At 39.2% G+C, this 24,644-nt stretch overlaps 1 protein-coding gene and 1 long non-coding RNA gene across 2 annotated transcripts in view; both read left to right on the plus strand.

Annotated features, from left to right (window-relative positions):
* SDK1 (sidekick cell adhesion molecule 1) overlaps positions 1 to 24,644 on the plus strand; it is a 967,749-nt gene that overhangs the window by 110,115 nt on the left and 832,990 nt on the right. The window lies entirely within an intron of this gene.
* LOC124901577 (uncharacterized) overlaps positions 1 to 24,644 on the plus strand; it is a 49,944-nt gene that overhangs the window by 12,580 nt on the left and 12,720 nt on the right. Inside the window, exon 1 of the long non-coding RNA XR_007060196.1 lies at positions 1 to 22,943. This exon is cut by the window's left edge and continues 12,580 nt beyond it. This is a non-coding gene — a long non-coding RNA (uncharacterized LOC124901577). The remainder of the gene's footprint in view (positions 22,944 to 24,644) is intronic.

Raw genomic sequence — 24,644 nt, forward strand, 5'->3', positions numbered from 1 at the left:
AAACGGTTGACTACACATACAGTTATAAGAATCAGGAACATATGATCCAATAACATAGATGAATCAGGAACTGAAATTTGGGGTGTAGATTTATTCCTTTGACTTTCTCTCCCTTTTTCAGTTCATGTTTTACCAATAGAGTATTCTGGTAGCAGCACTGTCTGACATTTGTCAGCTTAATTAGAGATCAGTTACAAACTTGGCTATCTTATGGATCTGTGATACTTCCCAGCAAATCTGAAATGCAATACGGGCACTGACATGAAATGATGAAAAATATGCTAATTTTAACCTGAAAAAGCTCCCTATTAATGCAGCAATTTCTCTTATTCATACTAATTCTCATTTTTTTTTCTGCATCCTTTGTGTCTAGTCTCTCCACAATTGAAAAGCTGTTTTGACCACCACTTAAGAGCAATAGACTATAAATTCTGGAGTTTAATTTGTTTAATGTCTGTGAGGGCTTGATGGGGTTGGGACTTTGTTCACTAGGTATGAACCCATTGCCTAGAAATCTGAAGAAGGGTATATTGCAGGTTCTTACGGGTATTCCTAGGAAGAAGAAATGATTTCCAAACAGAATTAGCATGTAGAGGAGAAACGCACAAAGAAAAGGAGATTTGATTTCCACAATGTAAGGAAATGTAAAATTTCATTAGAAGAAAGGGAAAGAGGACATTGCCAGCAAAGATGGAGAGAAAGAAGGCGTGTTTAAATAAGCTGGTTTCCAATTTAGCTGAAACATTTGAAAGTAAACAGAAGTAGAGCTAGATTTAGGGGTGTAAGATGTGGGCAATTAATACATTTATATGGCTCAAAATTTGAAGAGTTGGAAAGCATCTACAGTGAAAAGCCCCTTTTCCTGCCCCATTTCCTCAGCCACTCAGGCTATTCCCCAGAGTCACTGTGCATAATTACATATATAATACAAACATGTATACTATTTCTCTTCCCTCTTTTATTTTTCCAAAATGGTATCAAACTGTATATATTCTTCTGCACCTTGCCTTTTTTCTCACTCAACATGTTTCTTGGAGCTGACTCTCAAGCAGTTTGTGACTATGTAATTAGGACATAGGCAGCTCCTGCTTTTTTTGTTAAATGGCACTGCAAAATGTTCCTTTATGTGTTTATACCATAATTTATTTAACCAGTCTCTTGTTCATGGACATTATAACCTTTTGCTCTTACGCAGAGTGCTGCAAAGTGAGCAGTCTTTTCCACGTGTCATTTCACACATGTGCAAGTAAAGCTGTAGGATAAATTCCTAGAATGGCTGGATTAAAAGGCAGGGGCAGTTACGATTTTGAAAGATGTAGCCAGGTGGCCTTCTCCATAGGTTGCGAGTGTATGAAAGACTTACTTCCAAGCCAGTCTCTTCTATGCTGCCTGCTATAACTACCAATTAGGAATTTATTTGGGCTAATAAGTAACCCATGCCTGGAAGATTTAAGGAATGTGACCTTCCTAATGCATATTATTTTTAATCACTGTGCTTTCAACCTAATGACCAGTTGAGATTAAGCCACGTGGTACATATTTATTGCAAACCTACTATTTGGTTCTAGGGAATCAGCAAGGAGCAAGGTGTTACTTCTCTCTTGGAGTTTATATTCTGGTAAATAAACAAGATTATTCCAGAGAGTGATAAATACTGTGAAAATAATACACATGACAATATAATTGTAACTTGGCAGGGGGCAGGCTAATTAGAAGGAGTATACTGGTTATGGAAGGCCCCCTGAGGAAGTGATATTTCAGCTAAACCTGGATGATGTAAAGGAGCCAGAAATGTGGAAATCTTGGGTGGCAGTAGCAGGAACAACAACTGCGAAGATCTTGAGCCAAGAGTAGGCCTAGTGGTTCTAGAAACAAACAGTAGGGTAGAATAGCAAAGGGACTATCATGAGCAGAGGGGAGCAGGGCATAGCCTGAAGCTAAAGAGGGGCAGGGGTCAGACCAAGTAGATCCTCACTGTGGTAAGGAGTTGCAAGATTTCAAATATGGATGTGATGTTGAGATTTACTTGTTAAAAAGATAACTTGGAGCCAGGTGCAGTGGCTCACATCTGTAATCCCAGCACTTTGGGAGGCCAAGGCAAGTGGATCACTTGAGGTCAAGAGTTTGAGACCAGCCTGGCCAACATAGTGAAACTCCGTCTCTACTAAAGGCATGAAAATTAGGCATGGCGGTGGGCACCTGTAATCCCAGCTACTGGGAGGGCTGAGACAGGAGGATCACTTGAACCCAGGGGGCGGTGGTTGCCTTGAGCTGAGATCACACCACTGCACTCCAGGGCAACAGAGCGAAACTTCATCTCAAACAAACAAATAAATAAATAACTAGGAGGCTGTGCATGGTGGCTCACACCTGCACTTTGCGAGGCCATGGTGGGAGGATCACTTGAGGCCAGGAGTTTGAGACAGCCTTGGCAATGTAGCAAGATCTGCCATCTCTACAAAAAATTAAAATATCAGCCAGATGTGGCACATGTTTGTGGTCCCAGCTACTTGGGAGGATTGCTTGAGCCCAGGAGTTCAAAGTTGCAGTGAGCAGTGATTGCACCATTGCACTTAAGCCTGGGTGATGGATGAGACCCTATCTCTAAAAAATAAAAAGATAACTTGGGCTGCTGAGTGGAGAATGGATTGGGAGGGGGCAAGGGATTAAGTGGAGAGAGTATGTTTTGGGCTGGGCTGTAGTGGCAGCAGCAGAGATAGCTATGCCTTGGAAGACATATTTTTGCAGAGGTGGAACTGTTAGGATTTGTATGCCTTATGGGTGATAGGCAGAAAGAGGAATCAAGGACTCCTAGAATTTTGGCTTGAGCAAGCTAGGCATAGAGGCAGGAAGAGACAAGGTTGGGGTGCGGAGGAGGAGGAGAAATTTGAAGGGTCCTAGGGCATTTTCTGAGACGAGTGGCCTGGAGAATGTGACGGAATGGACTGTTTGGCCCAGCCCACGGAGGAGGAGAGTGCTGGGTTTTAGAAATGGGGCATCTGAGAACCCTGACTTCTGTCATGGTGCCTGGAGTCTAAAGTGGGGAGCAGAGCATCCAGCGAAGGTGGGTAGTGTCCGAAAATCTGGAGAATGTTTGTTTCTTTGGTATGTTTTAGTTTTTTTCTTTTACATGAATATCTATAGATCTTCCTTGATCACAAAAAATGAAGTTGGCAAATTTATGGAACTGTGAAAGTAATACCTTATGTTTTTGTGAAACTTTGAGAGATAATTTGTCTACTATAAAATTTATTTAAAATTGCACAATTGTGATTTTTCACATAATCGTAAGGTTGTTCAACCATCACCACTATCTTGACTGCAGAACATTTTTATCACCCCAGAAAGCAACCCTGCGCTCACTAGCAATTCCTCCTACTCCTCCATTCCCCCAGCCCCTGGCAACCGCTAATCTACTTGCTGTATTCTGGACATTTTTACAAATGGAGTCATATAATGTGTGTTTTTTTTGGTGTGATTCTCTTCTTTCACTTAAAATAACATTTTAAAGATGCATCCATGTTGTAGCATGTGTCAGATCTCCATTCTTGATGGCTGAAAAAATATTTCCGTGCACGGATATACCACATTTTATTAATTTATCAGTTGATGAACATGTTGGTTGTTTTGACTTTTCGGCTATTATGCATAACACTGCTATGAACATTTGTGTAGCAGTTTTTTTGTGGACACATTTTCTTTCTTTTGGTTATACACATAGGAGTGTAATTGCTGGGTTTTGTTAACTTGATTTTTATCTTTTGAGGTTGTATCCAACTTTATATCATTTATTTATCACAGTAGCTATGAAAGGAACCTGAAGTACTGAAGGATTTGATGGGCTAGAGGAAAAAGTGCATATGTTACAAAAAATATTTAAAATGAGGTTCATTCATGCATTGGTTAAAATAGGGCAGACCTGGACACATAAATGTGTCAGGAGAAGTAAACAAAACGTGTAATACTTATATAGTGGAAGAGTGTATTGCAGGTGTATGTGTGTAGAGAAGTGTGTAGAGAAGTTATATCTATATGTAATCTCAACAGAGGTAGATAAAAAACAATGAGAGGTAGGTTAAATGAGAAGTAGATTAAAAAACAACGGTGAAAAATGATTAAAAAACAATGATGAGTGAATAAGTGAGTTGATACCATTTATGTAAGTTAAGAAAACCACAAAGTAATACTATGTATTGCTCATAGATGGAAATGCCCATATACACACACAGAAGTACAAAAAGGATTGGAAGGATACCCACAAGTCCATGATAGTAGTTGCTTTGTATCCCTACTTCTGAGCTGCAAACCCATGCCAGTTTTCCTTACCATATATTTATATATAAATTATATATAAATGTATATATATATATTCATATACAAATCATTTCTGTTACATGACTGTACATTTCTTCGGAGTAGGGACTATGTTTTCTTCACCAATTTCCATTGCCTAGCACTTAAGTGTGAACACATATTTTTGAATGACTAACTGAATGAATTAAATGATTTTGGGAACAAGATAGGGCAGGACTAATGAATAAGCCACTCTCCCCCATCCTGCTCATTGTCTCTGCTCCCTACCTTCATATTCTGTTAGTGTTGTCATAATATGAGGCTTGCAATTACCAGAGCAGTTCCATATGACACGACATGCTAATAAAGCAGATGGTGTGTGCAAATAAGCAGGATAAAAGAGGTCTTTGCTGCAAAAGTCATTGCTGTCTCCTTTAAAGTATGAAGTATTTTATGATTTCTCAGTAGATTTTATCTTCATTGTCAAGGTAATGATTATGGATCGTATAAATCTTTATGGCTTTGTTGTATCAAGTGTCAAATTACACAGCTTAGGTAGTTGTAGAAAGAAAGATGTCTGTGATCAGATTAGGAAGTCATATTACTAAAAGTTTTTGCCGTTCAGGGAGGAGTTGGTCTCACTTTTTTGTGTTCAGATAGTGGAGAACTGTGCTCCCGTTCTAGGGCCCTCCCTCCTTTCTCTTTATTAACTTCTCCCCACGGGAGAAAGAATGGCAAATTGGAAAGCTCGGGGCTTGACATTAATATGAGTGAAGTCACTGTATTTCCACATGGCTTTCGTTCTTTTTTTTTTTTTTTTTGCGGGGGAAACAAGGGGTGGAGGCCTGCAGAAAGGTGCCAGCTATCCTCTACTTTTTGCCTGCTGTCTTCAGGCAATAAGGAGATTAGGGAGGTGTTCCCCTGGCAGGCCTAATCTGGTCTATACTTCTTCTAGTCCAGCCTTTGCCTGGACAGGTAAATCAGTTCAGGTTTGCTCTGTGAACCTGGCCACCTTCAGGTCTGGAAGAAGAACATAGGAAGCCCTGCTGACGTCAGGCTTAAGCTGTATTCTCCAGCACATTTACCAGAAGCCTCTGGGGTTGTGTGTGACCATGCCTCGAATAAAGCCCATGTTCTGATCCCCATCTGTCTGTCAGATGTTATTTGTGGATGTTATTTGTGGTTATGCCCAGTTGGTTAGAACCTAGAAAGTGATAAAAGTGAGCCATGCAGCCGGGCACGGTGGCTCATGCCTGTAATCCCAGCACTTTGGGAGGATGAGGTGGATGGATCACCTGAGGTCAGGAGTTCAAGACCAGTCTGGCCAACATGGTGAAACACTGTCTCTACTAAAAAATACAAAAATTAGCTGGGCATGATGGCATGCGACTGTAATCCTAGCTACCGGGAAGGCTGAGGCAGGAGAATCCCCTGAACCCAGGAGGTGGAGGTTGCAGGGAGCCGAGACTGCGCCACTGCACTCAAGCCTGGGCAACAAGAGCTAAACTCTGTATAAAAACAAAAAATAACAAAAAAACTAGCGAGCCCTACAGCTGCAGGCTGAGGTTCTAGTTTTGGCAATAAGCTAAAGTGTAAATAATTTTACATTTAAAACTATGGAACAAATAGAGGTGGGACATGGGCTGCCCCTGCCCACCTCTCCAGCCAGTTCCCCGACTCTTCGTCTTCTTTCTGCTGCATGTGGTCTGACCATCTTAGTTCTCAAGTTTGCCAAACTTTTTTTCAGCCATGTGTCCTTTGCCTATGCTGTTTTCTCTGCTAACTTTCTCTTTTTTTTCTCTCTCTTACTTGCTGCTTTTATGGTCAAGTTCTAACTCTTCAAGCGTACACTTAAATAGTACCTTCTCTGACCCCGTAGGCTAGGTTGATTGCTTCAGTGTACTAAGGCAAAAATACCCTGAGTATCTGTGCTCATTAACCTCTGTGTTTCCCTTTTGTAAGATTTATCACAATTGTAATCAAATATTTATGCTATGATATATTTGTTGCCTTTCTAGATTTTCTAACAGTCTTCTTTGCATTGTTACATAAAGTGTTTAGTGCAGAGCTGGGCACTCATATTTGGTGCCTGAGGGAGATTTGTTGAGTGAATAAAATAGCAGTGTCCAGCAGCGACATAGACTGCTGAGATATGGCATGTCAGAGTCTGAAAGGCTTCTGTCCAGTTGGCAAGTGGAATTCATTGGATGTTTTACAAAGAATAGTTTTAGTAAGGTGGTGGGGACGGAAGTGAGTTTGCAAAGTATCTTATAAAAAGCTAGACTTAATTACTCATTTACGCAACATTGGAACCCTTACAAGTGATTTCTCTACTGAGAGCAACTTTTCTTGAGTTTTACTAACTCAGTAGACACTGTCAGAATCTGCCAGATTACAACAAAGGGGTAAAAATTCCTGATCACTTGAGGTCAGGAATTCAAGACCAGCCTGGGCAACAAGGTGAAACCCGATCTCTACTAAAAATGAAAAAAAAAAAAAAAAAAAAAAATAGCTGAGCTGGGTGGTGCGTGCCTGTAATCCCAGCTACATGGGAGGCTGAGGCAGGAGAATTGCTTGAGCCCGGGAGGCGGAGGTTGCAGTGAGCCGAGATTGCGCCATTGCACTCCAGCCTGGGCGACAGAGCGAGACTCCATCTCAGAAACAAACAACTCCCAAGGCATTATACTATGACTCTTTTCTCAATGGGTAGTGAACAGAATGGAATATTCACTTCACTGCAAAGAGTCACTGGCAGGTGGTGCAGAGCACTGTGCTCCAGAAAGAGCAAAGAGCCTAGAGGTTTCTGATCTCTGCTTATCACTCAGCCAAAAGTACAGTCATTTGCTTAAAAAAAGACAGGTGGCATAAAAAAAAAAGTATTCTTTAATCTCTCTGCTCTACAGGACTTGAAACATAGCCTTAAATGACTAAGTCTTCACGTGAGCATGACATAACCTGGAAATCTTCCTATAATGGAACTGGCCTTGTGAAGGTATTTATTGTTAAGACTTTCCAGGGTATATTTTGGGAGGTGCCATGGGCAGATACATCGGCGATACTGTTACATAGTCCAGGATGTTCTACTTTTGAAAATTAACAATAATTACACTCAAGACCTTAGGCAAGTTGACTATTCTCAGCACTTTATATATACAGTCGTCCCTCATTGTACACCGGGATCTCCCCTACCCCTCGCCTATGGTCAAATCTGCACGTACTCAGTCTTACAGTCAGCCCTGAAGAACTCGTATATGTAAAAAGAGGGTATCTCTAGGCAGTGAGGTAGCTTTCTGTTAGCTCTTGTAGGGACCATGTTCTTGTGGACTTGACAAAGAATGTTATATCAAAAGTCGTAACTCCTTTTTCCTGATTTAAAGATGACATTTACATGGTTTTTGTGTCCCATGAATACGGTATTTTTGATCTGCATTTGATTGAAATGCATTTGAGCTGCTCAGTTGAAACCTGTGTTGTTCAAGGGTCAGACTGTATTAACCTATTTAATCTTTGCAGCAAATCCTGTAAGGAATCAGTCCTTTTACAGAGGAGGAACCTGAAGCTCACAGAGCTTAAGGACTTTGCCCGAAGTGGCAGAATTGGCATTTGAACCTAGGCATCCTGGCTTCAGAATCCATGTTCTTCCCTTTTAGGTTATACTGCGTCTCTGTGGCCACTTGATGATAAAGTCAGTAATTAGGATCCACTGTTGTTCCCTCTTGTGCCTCTGCCCTTTTGCTCATGTTCTCCTCCCTGACACTAGAGCACCTGCTCCCCCTTCACCTGCAGTGAGTGTCTCGGGGAAACATCAGCACAGAGGCTCTGCTTTCTCCCACCCGGCAGGTCCGCAGGGGGTTGCTGTTTCGAAAGTATTGAGTGCTCTGGACACCATGATCTGTTCTGTAGGATTCTTCTGTAGCAGGAGCTTTGTCATGGACTCAGTTGCCTTTTGAATGCTGGTCAGGTATCCTAGTCATCTTTCACAATGTCGATCATATGGGAAAATATGTTTCTAGTTCTGACAACTGAATTACATGTACACCTTTGGAACATAATCTGTTTTTAGGTTGAGAACTACCTGTGTATTCATCAAGTACTGAAGTTCCCAGTGTTCAAGAAATGCCCTATGCTATTAACAGAGAATTAACAGGTTTCTCTAAAGAACAAAACTAAGCTTAGTATGGCCTGGTATTAATCCCTGTCTAGAAGTTTCACAATCAAAAGGGCAAAATGTGGAAAAGCAAAGATAAATAAGTAAAATTGGAAAATACGCAAAGCCGTTAGAGATGTACCAGTGGCTCAGAAGTAGGTAATAATGAGAAATGCACCCAACCTCTGTGACTGTGAAACATGCCACCCAAGCTTTGGGTTTTTGAAATCTGTCTCTGGCACTTGAATCTCCTTGTCAGTGGCAAACTGGAGAGCTTTCCATACTTCTGTGCAAAGGAAAGCATACCCCAGAGCAAAAACAAAATAAAATGCTACTTAATATTCAATGTGGTGTCCTTTGAATTTAAAAGTTGTAGTGATACTATTATAGCAGAATTAACATTATTGTCATATTAGCATTGGAACTTTCCCATTTATTTTTGGCTTGGTGAATTTGAAAGTGTTGTTTAACAGAAAAGATTTTAAAAGGTTAGATGCAATAGCATTTATTTTGCACAGTTTGATGGATTGCCAGCAGCAGGGAAAACTACAACTCAGATCGTTTCAACAACTTTCTGTTCTTGGATTTTTCCTTTCTCACCAATTTTTCTTTCAGAGCAATAATCATTTTACTGTATATGAAAGAGATACCTAAATATCAGGTATCTAGTTAGGTGCTAATGAACTCCTCCTGCCCATTTTTTAATTGTTTGCTTTATCATAGCTCTAAGTAGTCGTGCTAATCTTTTAGGGGGAGGGTTAAGGAAAGATTTTACTTAATTTTGGGATTTACTTTGTCTTTTACAGAGCTTGATATGTGGCTTAACAGTAAGTAGGATTATAGCAAGTTGTTATTTTAGAGAAAGTAAACGTTATCTCATTATATTCTTTTTTAACATAATGAGAATCTTTATGGAAGAATTTGCGACAGCTCAAGAACATTTTTTAAAATTTAATTTTAAGTTCCAGGATACATGGGCAGGGTGTGCAGAGTCGTTACATAGATAAACATGTACCATGGTGGTTTGCTGCACCGATTAACCCATCACCAAGTATTAAACCCCACATGCATTAGCTATTTATCCTGATGCTCTCTGTCCTTCCACACCTCCCTGATAGGCCCCAGTGTGTGTTGTTCCCCTCCCTGTGTCCATGTAAGAACAGTTCTTTTTAAAGGTTAGTACTTGGATTGTTTTATTGTTGTACTGTTTAAGCAGCTTTGTTGAGAAAGAGTAAATTAAAGCTTTTATCAATTTTTTTTTTTTTAACAGCAAATCTGTACTCTCCTTTTTTTTTTTTTTGGTGGCCCAGGCTGGAGTGCAGTGGCGTGATCTTGTCTCACTGCAACATTTGCCTCCTGGGTTCAAGTGATTCTCCTGCCTGAGCCTCCTGAGTAGCTGGGACTGCAAGTGTGTGCCACCACGCCCAGCTAATTTTTGTAATTTTAATAGAGACAGGGTTTCACCATGTTGGCCAAGCTGGTCTTGAATTCCTGATCTCCAGTGACCCGCCTGCCCTCCTCGGCCTCCCAAAGTGCTGGGATTACAGGTGCAAGCCACCGAGCCTGGCCTGCACTCTCACTTCTAGTTATCAATGTTAAATTTATCATTTGTCACTAAATAATTATGATATTCATAATTACCAAAGCCTTTTAAAACTGCATTTTTATAATTTTTGCTACTTGCTGATAGAAGACCTTTTGACTTAAATATCTAAGTTTTAGATTGACATTAGTTTTGATATATAAGGTTTAGTTTTCAGTATTGAGCTGCTATCTGTAAACTAATTATATTTTGAAGTGAAATTAGTGGAGAATGGACATTTTCTACATTGCGTGAGCGTCTACAGCTAGAGAGTATCTCTAGGCAGTGAGGTAGCTTTCTGTTGGCTCTTAGATGGGATCACATTCTTTGGGCTTGACAGTGGATGTTATGTCAAAAGTCATAACTCCTCTGATTTAGAGATGACATTTAGAGTACTGTAGGTTTATGAGAACCTGCTCTTAACCTTAAATAACAGAGCTGCTGCCAGGGCTGCTGCCTTCCTTCCTGGTTTTTGGGTGCTTGAGACTCTTGGAAAGTGGGCCAGATGCAGTGGCTCCTATCTGTAATCCCAGCACTTCTGGAGGCTTAGGCGGGCATATAGCTTCAGTCCAGGAGTTGTGAGATTCTTGGAAATGTAAAGCATAGTTGATGAGAGGGGGAATTAAATAGCAGACCGGATGGTTCTCAAAATAAAATAGGAAATTAGAAGATATGAGGCCTTAATAACAACAACAGCAAAAATGAGATGTATCTATCTATAATGAGATTTCTGAATGTCATAATACAGAGACAATTCTGTATCCAATTAGAATAAAACTTGTTACCTTCAAGTGGAATGAATCAAATGCAATAATTCTATACCCAGCCAAACTACTCTTACATAGGTGGTCAGAGGATCAATATTTAAAAACCTGCTATTATTCTAACTTTGAATCCTTTCAGGAAAAAAAAAATTTAGAAAATACTTAAGGCATTGGTGAAGTCAAGAGTGAAAACCTCATAGGAAAGAATATGTGGCTTATATGCAACCGATTAACTTGAGTCAAATCTAAATAAATGTTAGTAGGTTGTGAAGCTAAGTGGATTCATTGACATGAAAAATACTATAGAATATAACCAACTTTTCTTAATACTGGAAGTCCTTTTGAAAAATCAAATTATTGCTGGGTGTGGTGGCTCATGCCTGTAACCCTAGTAACTTGGGAGGCTGAGGGAGGAGGATTGCTTGAGCTCAGAAGTTCGAGACCAGCCTGGGCAACATAGCAAGACCCCATCACACACACCCAGAAAACATCAAATTATTTCTTTCTGTAGCTCTGAGTTTATATGCATATCTAATGAAATGATTGAAAACCCTACTCTGGCAACACAGGAGTTGGGCTGGCGATAAAAGGTGGGGGAAAAGCAGGAGTACTTAGGATGTGGGAGAGGAAATGATACAAATATGATAGACTGTTAATTCCTGGGAAAAATACCAGAAACAGCTGATCTGATTTTCAGAAGTAATCATAAAAATAGATAGCATTTATTGAATGTTGCAAGGCCTTTGCTAAGTACTTAATATTGTTACCTCATTTTACCCTGTATATCAGAGATATTAATGAGCTGGCTAATTTATATACCTGTAGAATGTGTAATGAACACTCATTAGCATTATAGATATGTTAGTTTTAAAGTGTATCTGTGTCCTTTTAAAATATTTCCTTTTAACTCTTAAATTGAAAAGTCTAGGGAATAATCCTAATCAAGAAGGAGTTGCAGGAAACTATTGTAAATCCAGGTTGTAAAGAGAAAATAAATTGGTTGGTGAGAACTGTCACCTTTTCCATAAGATAATTTAAGCACAAATGATTACAACAATTTACGTTTTTTATTGTGGCCAATATAGTTGACTTGGTTTAAATCAGACAGGAGAAAAGAGGAAAATTTTTATTGATTAACCAGGCCCTGAATTTTCTGTCTTAGGAGGAGGAAATTATGTAGTTAAATTGTATGATTCCTGTCAAAAGAACAATGAACTTTTGAGCAGATTGGCTGAGCAGAGAGAATACAAAGCAGGGCTAATGATTGTCTTCATCAAAGAGAACTTCTTGGGATAAGCAGATTTCTATGCTTTTATAAGATAGATTTTTTTGGGGGCAGTGAGAATATAAAAACAAATTCGGGAATGAGAGGTTAATCGATAAAGAACCTGAGTTGTGTTTTAGTCATGGAAACAGTGGCTTTTTTTTTTTTCAGTTTTGTTTTTGATAAAAAGTATCCTAAATATAAAGGAGGTATATTTCCAGGTAGGACTGTGCTATGTAACTCAGTAGTCTCTAAACTGATTTTAGTTTTGCTTTTGATATCTGAATGGATTAGGAAAATTCCTTCCAAGAAACCAGAGACCAGAAGATCAGACAAATACCATATCAGTTTCTCTGCTTTGAAAATTATAATTCAACCTTGTAAAATTTTTCTAACGTTGTGTTCTCTGTAAATAACACAGAGTAAAAATAAGTCAAACCATTTGTTTTTTCCTCTAAATGTTCTGAACATTAAACAAATGGTTCTTGGCAAACACATACTATTTTTTTTTTTTTTTTGAGATGAGTCTCTATTGCCCAGGCTGGAGTGCAGTGGTACAATCTTGACTCACTGCAACCTCCGCCTTCCAGGTTCAAGCGATCCTCCTACCTCAAACTCCCAAATAGTTCGGACTACAGGTGCGCGCCACCATGCCTAGCTAATTTTTGTATTTTTAGTAGAGATGGGGTTTCACCATGTTTGCCAGGCTGGTCTCAAACTCGTGACCTCAGGTGATCTGCCTGCCTTGGCCTGCCTAAGTGCTGGGATTATAGGCGTGAGCCACCATGCCCGGCCATACTAATTTAATTTTAGGAATGTTGTATTATAGTTCATTTTGAACAAATTGTAAGAAGATTATTTTGTGCCCATATGTGTGATAATCAGAATAGCTTGATGTAGATATTTGGTATCTTTTTAGAATAATTATGTTTAGATAAATCTTTTCTGTGGAAACATATTCCTAAACATTTAAGCCTAGTTATACCACCCTCAAATATAAGAAGTTTATGAACTTTGTGGGCTGATTCAGGAAATCTTTTCACACTGATAAAAACAGGAGACTTTAATATTATTTTGGGAAGAAAAATGAGAAATTTGAAGATATGTCTCTTATGAATCTTGCTGCATCAGTTTGTTTTCTGCTGATAGTCTGGTTGATGCACAATTTAGTTTTCAAAGAATTTCTCTTCAAAAATACCGGCTAGGCACAGTGTTCACACCGGTAATCCCAGCACTTTGGGAGGCAGAGGTAGGAGGATCGCTTGAGGCCGGGAGTTCGAGACCAGCCTGAACAATGTAAGGAGACTCTATCTCTACAAAAAATAAAAAAACTAGCCAGGCATGGTGGCGTGCACCTGTAGTCCTAGCTGCTTGGGAGACTGAGGCATGAGGATCCCTTGAGCCCAGGAAGTCAAGGCTGCAGTGAGCTATGATAGCACTACTGCACTCCAGCCTTGGTGACAGAGCAAGACCCTGTCTCAAAAAACAAATATTTTTCATCCTTGGAAAAATAAAACCTAAAATAAGAAGAGCAGCACAATATTTTTCTTTTTTTTGAAGTAGCAGGGCTGACCAAAGCCATTTCTAGCCAAATAAATTATTTATTAATCAATATCGTTACCACATTCTCTATGTGGAAAAAGTATTCAAATCTTGAGGCCTATGTTTTTTCAAACTTGAGAGTCATACAGTTGCCAGCTTTTTTTTTTTTTTTTAAGTAGTAGACAAATTGTAAGAACTACAAAACTGAAAATTACCTTCTGTTTTTCTTCCCCATAAGCTGCTGTTGAAGTGAAGTGAGCTCAGGGAGACAGGCCTGTTGTTATCTTCCTATGGCACTGATTTACACTTTTACAGAAGGGAAATTTATGGCCCTTATCTGTTGAGGACTTTTATGAATGACTGGTATAAATCAAGAATTGAATGAATATTTTTCCCTTTAAGCATAAATCTGTGATTGGGAGATTGATTTCTGAGTAACTCTTTGGTAACCCATTTAAATTGTCATCTTCCAATTTTCTGTATTTTGGCATAAACTGAATAACTAAAATATAACTTAATACCAGCATGATAGATTTGTTTTTCTTCTGTTAGATACTTTAGAATTCATCTAGACTTCTCACAGACCTCGATAAATAACTCAGCAGTCAGAATGGAAAACAAATTTATATAGTGGAAATCTCATTAATGGGAATGAACAATACAACTGTATTCAAGGTTTAGGCAGGAGAAGGAAAATGATAGAAATGTATTTGTTTAATTTTAAAGATTCTTATGATAAAATGATCATTAATTAGGGAAGATAAGTAGAAAAAGACAGTCCTTTCTGGGACATTTGAAGACTAACAGCCTTTTATTGAAAGTCCTGGAAAAGTATGTGTAAAAAGCCAGCCATGATGATCTTTTACCTACACTTCCTTAGGAGACTTTCCCTCAGCAAGATGTGTCTTTCTAAAAACAAAAGATAAGAGACAATAGGAGCCCACATAGGATGGAAAGCTAGAAATCAGGTGGGTTAAAAATAATTTCATCTACACTATCTTCCCCTTCTCAAAAGATTTTTAATCTGTAAATGGCAACTTATACATGGAAGGATTATAAAATACATAAAATTACTTTTTATTTGTCTTCTCAGATATATGGCGTGTTCTTTATCTTCCCCTTGTTCCAAGTAATTTTGTTAAGCAGTAAACAACGTGGAAGACAGGTTGGTCAGGAGATAAGCAGTTGATTCCGTGTTTTTTGAAGAGAACTTTTATGATAGTAGGAAGAGGAGGGCAGTGCTGGTCCTGTAGTGCAGTCGTGTAGTACTGTTTGCTGTGGGACAAGAGGAAGGAACAGACTGGCAGGAAGGGACTGCAGCATGGAAGGGTGCTAAGTGCGTCACTGAGTGATAAGGGTGCTAAGTGCAGGAAGGCCCACTGGATGGGCAGGGTGAGAGTGGGTTCAGGTTGTAGGTGTGGAGTTGGACAGGCTGGCCTTGTTCTAGCAGCACCATTTACTAGCTGTGCCACCCTAGGCAAGTCACCTTCTCTGCTCCTCATTTCCCTTCTCTCTAAATGGTGATAATAAGAGAAGCTACCCTCTGAAGTTGTTAGGATTAACTGAGCTGATACATAGATGTAAAACCCATAGGACAGTACCTAGCACGTTGCATCCAACAAGTGTCAGCAAAATATTAGCCTAGCCAGTCACCTGTGGCCATTATCAACATCTGTCTCCAGTTAGTCACCACCTTTGGTCAATTCTGCATTTGAATATTTCTTAAAGATGATTTATCTTCTCTGCCCTCATGGCCATAGCCTTAGTGTACAGACTTTTTAACTCTCAAATAAATTAATTCCGTTTATTCTTTTAGTCAAATTTTACTAAAATCCATTGTGCAGAAAATGACCTGTTAATTTTCTAAAATGCAGATCTTGCCCTGCCACTCTGCTTAAATCCCTGTCATGGTTTTCTGTCATCCTTAAGGAATTTATAATTAACTTTCAGCATTAAAGGCATGCAGAGTTCTTCAAAAGTTAGCTCTTGCTTGCCTTCCAACCTCATCTCTCATCAGATACTTTATGAACATCATATATTCTAATTCTTACTATACCTTTCCAAAAGGCAGTCCTCATTTTGCACAGTGATGCAGGACTGTAACAGTGATGGTTCAAGCTGAACTACACACAACAATCTTAATAACAGTGGGAGCAACTCCAGTATTCCCATGACCTTTGAATGTTTTTGTTAAAACATTAAAAATTCTCTGTCAGTGATAAATATGTATGGAAATGAAAAAGTAAAACTGGTATTGATGTAGTATACTGTAATGTAAAACATTAGATGAAAGGCTCACACCTGTAATCCCACACTTTGGGAGGCCGAGACAGACGGATTGCCTGAGGTCAGGAGTTCGAGACCAGCCTGGCCAACATGATGAAACCCTGTCTGTACTAAAAATGCAAAAATTGGCTGGGTGTGGTGGCGGGCACCTGTAAATCCAGCTACTTGGGAGGCTGGAGCAGGAGAATCACTTGAACCTGGGAGAGGGAGGTTGCAGTGAGCTGAGATTGTGCCATTGGACTGCAGCCTGGGTGAGAAGAGCGAAGCTCCATCTCCCAAAAAAAAAAAAAAAAAAATCAGAAGAATTGAGAATTAAAAACTTATCAGGAGTAGTTTGAACAGTGCTTGTCTTCTTCATCTTGTCATACGATATAAGATGGGCCTAGCATCTTTTCTATGACTTGGTGAATTTCCATACTCCTTTCTAAGTTTGGATCAGTTTCCCGTATTTCATCCTTTGTGCTTTCAGTGAGTTTCATTAATGTGAAGTTTTTTTGCTGGCATCACTTCCTCTGGGACGTCTTTATTCTTTTGCTAATTTATGTGAAGCTGCCTTCACCAAGCTCCTGTGGCTGCACATCATTGTCTCTTAGATGTCGTTAGTGTCTCTTAGATGTCGTTAGTGTCTCTTAGATGTCGTTAGTGTCTCTTAGATGTCGTTAGTGTCTCTTAGATGTCATTCCCATAGTCAGCTATTTCTTCTCTAAACGTCGTTTATGTTTGATTCAGATTTCACTTTGAGTTTACCAGTGTTTCAGTGCTGTACTTTCATCTTTGCTGCCCAATTCCCTCTTTGGATTACCCATTTTTGTAAAATGTCAAGTGGGTTAATCACTGTGAGACATGGTGGCAGCACAACTATATGCTTTTCTGTCTGTGTACCAACTCAGATGCACAGTGACCAATCACTGACAGGCTTTGAAAGAAGTGACGTGATTGGTCATGGATCATGATACAGATCTGTTATTTACTCAGTGATTGGTGCACTGAATAGCTAGTGGTGAAGTTTCTTTTATGTAATTATTATTGATTAATTTATCATAGTAACTGACATTTGAGTCTTATTATTGGCAGAATGATGTTAATTAAACTGTGGTAACTGAAATTTATGCATCTCAGAACTGTGCAAAGCAAGGACTGCGAGTATGTTATAACCATTTCACAAAGTCTTAAAGGTTAAATGGCTACATACAGCACATGGCCAAAAAGTGGCAGAATTACATTAACATAACTTTTCAAATATCTTTGATATTTATGTTATAAGGAGGCACAATCTGTCTCTTAATGCTTCTGTCAAATTAAATACTCATGGAGTTCAAATACAAATGGATTGTCTTCAGAAAAAAATTATTAGCATGTGTATTTAGGTCCATAGCCCTATAGGAACTCTGTCTGTGCTTAGCTTGGGCTAACCATGTAAGACTGCCAAGATTTGCATAAAAATCCAATTATTGTAAAGAGCTACTCAAAGCTAGCAACATACCTGACCTTATCTGAGGTTATTTTTTGGAATGAATCAAGAGTCCCCAGCCTTGGAGTGATGAAAAGACCATCATTTTTATTTGTTTTATTCTGGAACAAATAAAAAATCCCTGGAAAGGAAAGGAACATCCCGTAGTCAAGTGGAGAAAACTGGTCTAAATAGTTAGCAGTGGAGATATTGAGATACTCTGCTTAGGATGAGAGATCAGCAGCAGTGGGTAGGGATGTTAATGACTGGACCTTAAGCTTCAGGGATTCAGAAATAAGTTCAGTTAGTTCTCTTAGGAATAAGTTAAATAGTGTCTGCTCAATTCATCTGGCCGGCTGGTAGTCAGAGTCCACAGTAAGTAGTCAAATTTGAAAGTTGTAAGATACAATCCAGCTTCTGCAATAATGAGAAGGCTCAGTTTGGAGCATCTAAAATTGTTCAGGGTACAAGAGAACTGAGATACACAGATGGACTAAAATAATACTCAGTTGTGGATAGATGAAGGCTGAGAAAAAATATGATAAAAGGCTTTTTTTAAGTGCCTCTAAAATGCCAGGTCTTCTAGATTACTTTTACTTATTTGTAATGTAATTCTTATAAACATCTTGTTAGCAGGTGTTATAGTTGTTATTTAGAACTTTTCTGAGATTATAGAGCTAGTAAGTAATAGAGTTGGGTTTTTTGTTGTTTTTAATCCAGGCCCTTTTAAATATATAACTCCTAAATGAAAGATACCAGACCCAAACATTATGAAAAGAAGGATATTTGGGGAGTGCATCTCTCATTTTTGATCTTGCATGTTGTGTTGTATGGACCTTGGAATGTAATTTTCTGTAGAAATATTTGAAAATGTAATTTGATACCCAGTCCACACTGCAAAAGCCTATTTTTTTTTTTTTTTGTCAGGGTCTTGCTCTATCACCCAGGCTGTAGTGCAGTGGCACAATCTCAGTTTACTGCAGCTTCAGCCTCCTGGGCTCAAGCAATCCTCCCGCCTCAGCCTCCTGAGTAGCTGGGATTACAGGTGTGGGACACCATGTCTGGCTTTTTTTTTTTTTGTAGAGACAGGTCTCACTATGTTGCCCAGGCTGGTGTTAAGCCCTGGGTTCAAGCAGTCCTCCTGCTTTGGCCTCCCAATGAGTTGGGATTACAGGCATGAGCCACCATGACAGATATAGAGACACATATGGAGACACATAGAGATGTGCATGTAAAATAGGCCCAAAAGCCTATCCGTATGTGTCTCTCTATCTGTATATACATTTCTTTCTGTGCTATTTAAAATACATGCAGTCACTGTGTGACATATTACATTTCAAGTGCCAACTTGGGAATGGTGGAACTCTGCCTCTCACCTTGAGGACAGCCCTTCTTTGCAGCACAGTCAATGACTAGGAGGACAGTAGGCCTGTGTTTACATCTGTGCAAGAATGGCATCTGCCTTCATCTCCGCATGCTCCTAGAGAAGGAGCCGTTTCAGCGAGTCACTTCTCAGGTATTCTAAATTTGGTAATAAAAGGACTTGATGCACTCCAGGTGCAGTTTCTCTGACCATATCAATGTTCTTAATTTTTTTTTGAGGGGAGGGGACTGTGTCCTAATTAGTAATTAAGGTTATTTTGATAGCAAGTGTTAGAAAAATGCTAATTCCAAGACTACAAGCGTATTTCACATTCTGAAATCCAGGTATCCTAAGGGACCATGGACTGGAACTCCACTAGATACTACTCAGAAGCTTCGTCCGCCTCATCTGTCTCTACTTTTACCTCTGTGACCTAGAGGTCACTTGAAACAAGCTTCCTCCTGCTCGTCAGCTTCATTCCTCTCTTTCTGATGACTGTCTTTCTCTAGCCATCTGAGCCTCCTGTCCTATGTGACAGTCTCAGCTCATGACTTTCCATCCCCTCAGTTTCAAGAGTGTGTCTGAGACCTGATTCCAGAATCCCAAAAGGCAGAATGACATTGACTGACCCAACTGGAGTTCGTTAGGTATCCGTGGCTTGTTAGGAATCTATCTCTAGTAGGAATGTCTGCTGCCCTGGGGGCCGAATCCTGCCTGTGCATGACCTGCTAGGGCCCATGCCTCCGGTGGATGGAATGAAGCAAGGATGGGGGCTGCCTGCAGAGCTGTGTCACTCACTTGTATTCAGCTTTCCTGCCTCTGGCTCTCTGTCTTTTACCTTTTTTTGTTCGTTTGTGTTTTGAGATGGAATCTCGCTCTGTTGCTCAGGATGGAGTGCAGTGGCTAGATCTTGGCTTACTGCAACCTCCGCCTCTCGGGTTCAAGTGATTCTTCTGCCTCAGCCTCCTGAATAGCTGAGACTACAGGCACATGCTGCCACGCCTGGCTAATTTTTTTATTTTTCATAGAGACAGGGTTTCACCATGTTGGCCAGGTTGGTCTCAAACTCCTGAGCTCAAGTGATCCGCTTGCCTCAGCGTCCCAAAGTGCTGGGATTACAGGCGTGAGGCACCACGCCTGGCCTTTTATCACTTTTAAACTAAGAAAACAATGATCACCATACATGCTCTGCTTCCAAACTATACTTTCACATCCAAAGTACCCCCAGATCATAAAGTGCCACCAAAGAGCTGTGATATGAAGAAAGACCCCGGGTAGAATCACTCTGAAAATGTGGGAGGTTTTTTTTTTTTTTTTTTTTTTTAAAGCAAATTCATTTTACTTAGCCAGAATCCTAATAGCCTGCTGATTTTTGTAGATGATTACTCTGAAAACATATGCATTGGTGTGGTCTATGAGTAAGGCTCTGCCTTTTAAGTCACATTCTTTGCTGCTTCATTGCAATGAAAAATACCAAAGGTGAATACCAAATCAATTTTTTTTAGTATTGTACTTGTAAAGACAGTCCATGAAGTGGTGAGTGGGAGAATCAAACTTTTGTGGTAATCTTTTATTGTAATCTACTTTCAGCTCAGAGAAGCAGCATAGCCTGGTGGACTAAGGGAGGATGGGGAGTTTGGAGCTCTGAGATATGAACTGTTTTGCAATGACTAGTTTTGTGACCTTGAGAAAGGACCTTAACCTCTGTCTATGTCTTCATATGTAAAATGGGATCTACCTGATAGAAACATAGGTGCATTCATATGTGAGCAAACTGAATAATTAGATCTCACATAAATCAGGAGTGATTTTTTTTTTAAATGGCTGAAGCCTGCGGTTTATAAAAAGATTCTCCCTAGAATTCCTTTAAGACCTAACCTTTTCTCAGGGGTGTTTAAACTGTGATTAACAAATGTTAAATTATACATCCCAGTTTACAAAATATACCCGTTGAATAGAGTGAGACTAACATGACTTTTTGTCTCATAAAATTATGACAATAACTCAGTCAGTCTGTGTGAAATACTTTGTAAACAGAGCTTTGCAGGCTGCAGTAAAAAAAAAAAAATATATATATGTATTTTATATTTAAAAAATATATATTTTTATATATATATATATCCCCATACCTGAAGATTTTGGGGTGAACTTTTTCCAGGTTAAGAATGACATTAGTGCCAACTGTGCTGTATTTTGGCTATCGTGATGACATTAGTATCATCAAATTGGTCGTGGCATTGGGACACTGGCAGCATGTCATCCTGCCCCAGTCAAGAATGACTGTAGGCAGTTTCAGTTTATCTGTTGCTACTAGAATTTTGATGTAGCAGTGTCAAAAGGTTGATTTGTACTATGGCAATCTTATTCCTAGATGTGAATTCTCCAGGGGGCAAAATATCCTAAAAGCTAACATGTAAACAAGCTCAAAGGATTAATGTAGTAGGAAGAAATAGTAGTTTGTTATATATTCATGTTGAATTTAGGTAACTATTTTAGTTATTTAAAAGATTACTACCGAAGGGAAGAAACATATTTTGCTAGGTTTCGCATAGAAAAACCTGTGTCTGGCTCAAGGTAATACTTGAATTTTAATAGGAACCTAGGTTTGCTGTCTTCCCAGTGTAGACTGTAGCCTGCACTGTCATAGAAGAGTGTTGATTGATCCGGTTGTGAAATAGATGGATACCCACATTTAAGTTGCTTTTGAAAGAGTCAGTTTCCCTCCACAAATATGGCAACAAAATTCTTTTATAATCCACAAATAGAATTTTTCTTCATCTGAAAGAGATTTCTCCTAAACCAGCCTGAAAAATTGCTTTTCTAGGAAGAATTTCATGGCTGAGCCTCATTCTTGTACAGATTCATAGCATGTTATTACTAACTTGTAAATATTCACTTACAGAAGAGAGTGACTAGAATCTTTGAATTCTTTTATATTGGTGTTGAGGTTTCTATCCAAGTTACGCAGTTTTTCATTCATTTTAGAGGAAGATTTTCTCAAACAAGGATTCTTCGTGGTTGCAAAACCTATCCCCAGAGATTCCAGTCAACATAATTCAAGTTGACCAGTGGATTCTAAGTGTGACAGTACGGTGTTTAGCAAGTCCAAGTGAAACCAGATGGAGGTCAGAGAATATGCCTGGCTTCGTCCACATTATCTAGTTATCTGCCTCAACCCTCTAGTTTCAACCAGCTTCAAGTGAATGTTAAACCAGACTGCTGTAATCTACACATGCTTTCACACTTCAAAAGGTGTGTGTTAGTTGATATTTGGTTTAGTCATTTCGTCTCTTGAGAGGAGGGGTTGAAGTTTTTATTTCCAGTAGTATTTTATTTTATTTTATTGGATGAAGTTGTTTTTATTTCTTTTCTCCAGAAGAGGTAAGGAAGGTTCCTGGATTATTGTATTTGGTTGGTAAACTCTCCTCTTTTTCTCTTTCTGTGTCTGCATCTCCTCCTTTTTCTCTTTCCCTATTTCTTCTTCCTCTTCCTTAGGTTTATATGAAATAGAAACAATTTTCTAGCACAATGACTAAGTGAATTGCTACATTAAAGACTGGCTGGCCAAGAAATGGTTAATCTTTGTATGGCAGGCTTTAGGGACCAACATCAAATACAAACATGTTGGAAATCTTTTTGTCATTCCAGCTCAATTGATTCAGAAAAATTTTAAGAGCAATAGTCAGTGCTTGGAGGAAAAAAGAATACTATTGTAAATTTGAGACGTTCTCATCTTGAACATGGCTCTTGTAAATCACAAGCTTGACAACCTTACAGAGTACATACAAGCCGTGGTTGACTTCAGAAATATGTGTTTTAGACACAGTTTTACATGAAAGTCATGATATTGTAAATATAATGATTTATTAATAAGTTTAACTTTTGTTAGGATACTTTGCGCATAACTACCGCAATGCATTAAGAAGGAAGTGTTAAGAATTTTCATCCCACAGATCTGATGATTTAAAGTAGTGTTCCATTTGTGCAGTCAATAGAAGGAGGTGCAACAATGAAACAGAAACAAGGCAAAATCTATCCATATGGGCTCATCTTATGACCTGTTCTTGCTGGTAATTTTGGCGTATTTTGTGATGATTTTTTTTTCCTCTCTTTTTGAAGGCTCAGTAGCTGTACTACTCACTCTACCAGGCCAAAGAGTCAGCGTGATGGAGAGAAGATTAGGAAATCATGTTTTAAAATTCTTCTAATGCAGATGAATATGTCAACATGATTTTTCTTTCATCAGGAGCCTGTAAGAGAATTTCCACCTTGTTCGCCTTGGTTTTGGTATATGAGGTGGACTTTTTACTTAGGTGTCCTCCCTGTTGTTTTGAGGCTATGTGCCCTACGCCACTGTGGTTTACCCTGAGGAAGTTTGCGTAGCTCGCGTGCCAACCACTTCTCTTGGAGAAGACGGAGTGTCATAACTACAGCTAACATTTATTAAGGATCTTGCATGTTTTTCATTTTAATCCTCACAGCTCCTTAAGTATTATCTCCATTTTGTAGATGGGACATCTCTGGCTCAGGCTCAAAGATGTTAAGTAGCTCACCTAAGGTCATTTTGCCAGCTAAGTAACCAAGCTGGGGTTTCAGCCCAAGCCAACTTTACCGAGTGTGGATGGTTTTAACCAGTTCTCTCGATTTGCCTCCCTGTGAGGTGTGAGTTGTTGCCATCATTAACCCAGGCCTATCTGCTTTTGGGGTTCAGAGTTGGAACCATCTGCAGGGAGTGTAGATAGAATCATGGGGGGGGACAGAGCACACCCTAGTGGAGCCTGCCAAGACTCCTCATTGAGCCCAGAAAACTGAGATACAGGTTAGAATTGGCCATTTCATCGCAGTGTTTATTTCATGTTTTCTCATCTCACAGGTGAGTTTTCTAGAGGAAAGATGATGAAGTAAAATTTTACAACAATTTTTGAATACTTTTCCTAACTGTCAAATCTCCGTCTGGATCCCATTAATAAGATACAAAGTTATATCCCAAAAGTACCAAATTATGTAATTCTTTTTCTGATTAGTTCATTGCAACTTGTTCAGCTTCAAATAAATTAAAGATTTCTTAGTTATTGTGATTCTTAATAATTTTGCAAAAGTCTCTGTATTTTTTTTTTTGAAATCTTTTTCTCATTATTTATGGAAGATAGTGATTGGGAGAAAGCAAAATATTAGGCATTAAAACAGATTATACTGGAGAGATCTATTCCAGTGTGATCACCAAATCCACCTATTTTGATACTTGACTTATGAAGGGGACTGCCTTTTTTTTTTTTTTTTTTTTTTTTTTTGAGACGGAGTCTTGCTTTGTTGCCCAGGCTGGAGTGCAGTGACTTGATCTCAGCTCACTGCAACCTCTGCCTCCCGGGTTCAAGCAATTATCCTGCCTCAGGCTCCTGAGTAGCTGGGACTACAGGCACAGACAGTCACGCCCAGCTAATTATTATGATTATGATTATGATTATTATTATTATTATTTTGTATTTTAGTAGAGACGGGGTTTCACCGTGTTGTCCAGGCTGGTTTCGAACTCCTGAGCTCAGGCAATCCGCCCGCTTCGGCCTCCCAAAGTGCTGGGATTACAGGAGTGAGCCACTGCACTCTGTGGGGGCTTTTAAAGAGGAAGTGAAGGGTAACTCATCTCTATCCTACTTTACATGCCCCACCTAAGTCCAACTCCCACTGCCTGTCTTCTAAGGGACATCTTGTGGCTTGTTCTCTGCTCTGCTCGTATTCAGTCTCTACGTCCCTCATGCTTTCTCATGGATTTACAATGATTACTTACTCTCAAACTTATATTTCCAGCCCTAACCTCTCCAGTGATCATTTGTTAACAAGATTGTGTTAAAGGAAGCAACAAAGGTTCTTCTATTGGATGTAGTTGAAAAAGCAGAACTGTTGCTCTGGCCTAAACATTAACTTTGGAGAGGTTTAAATTCTGTTTAGAAGTTAT

Source organism: Homo sapiens, chromosome 7 (assembly GCF_000001405.40).
Source record: "Homo sapiens chromosome 7, GRCh38.p14 Primary Assembly".
In the NCBI taxonomy this organism is placed as follows: Eukaryota; Metazoa; Chordata; class Mammalia; order Primates; family Hominidae; genus Homo; species Homo sapiens.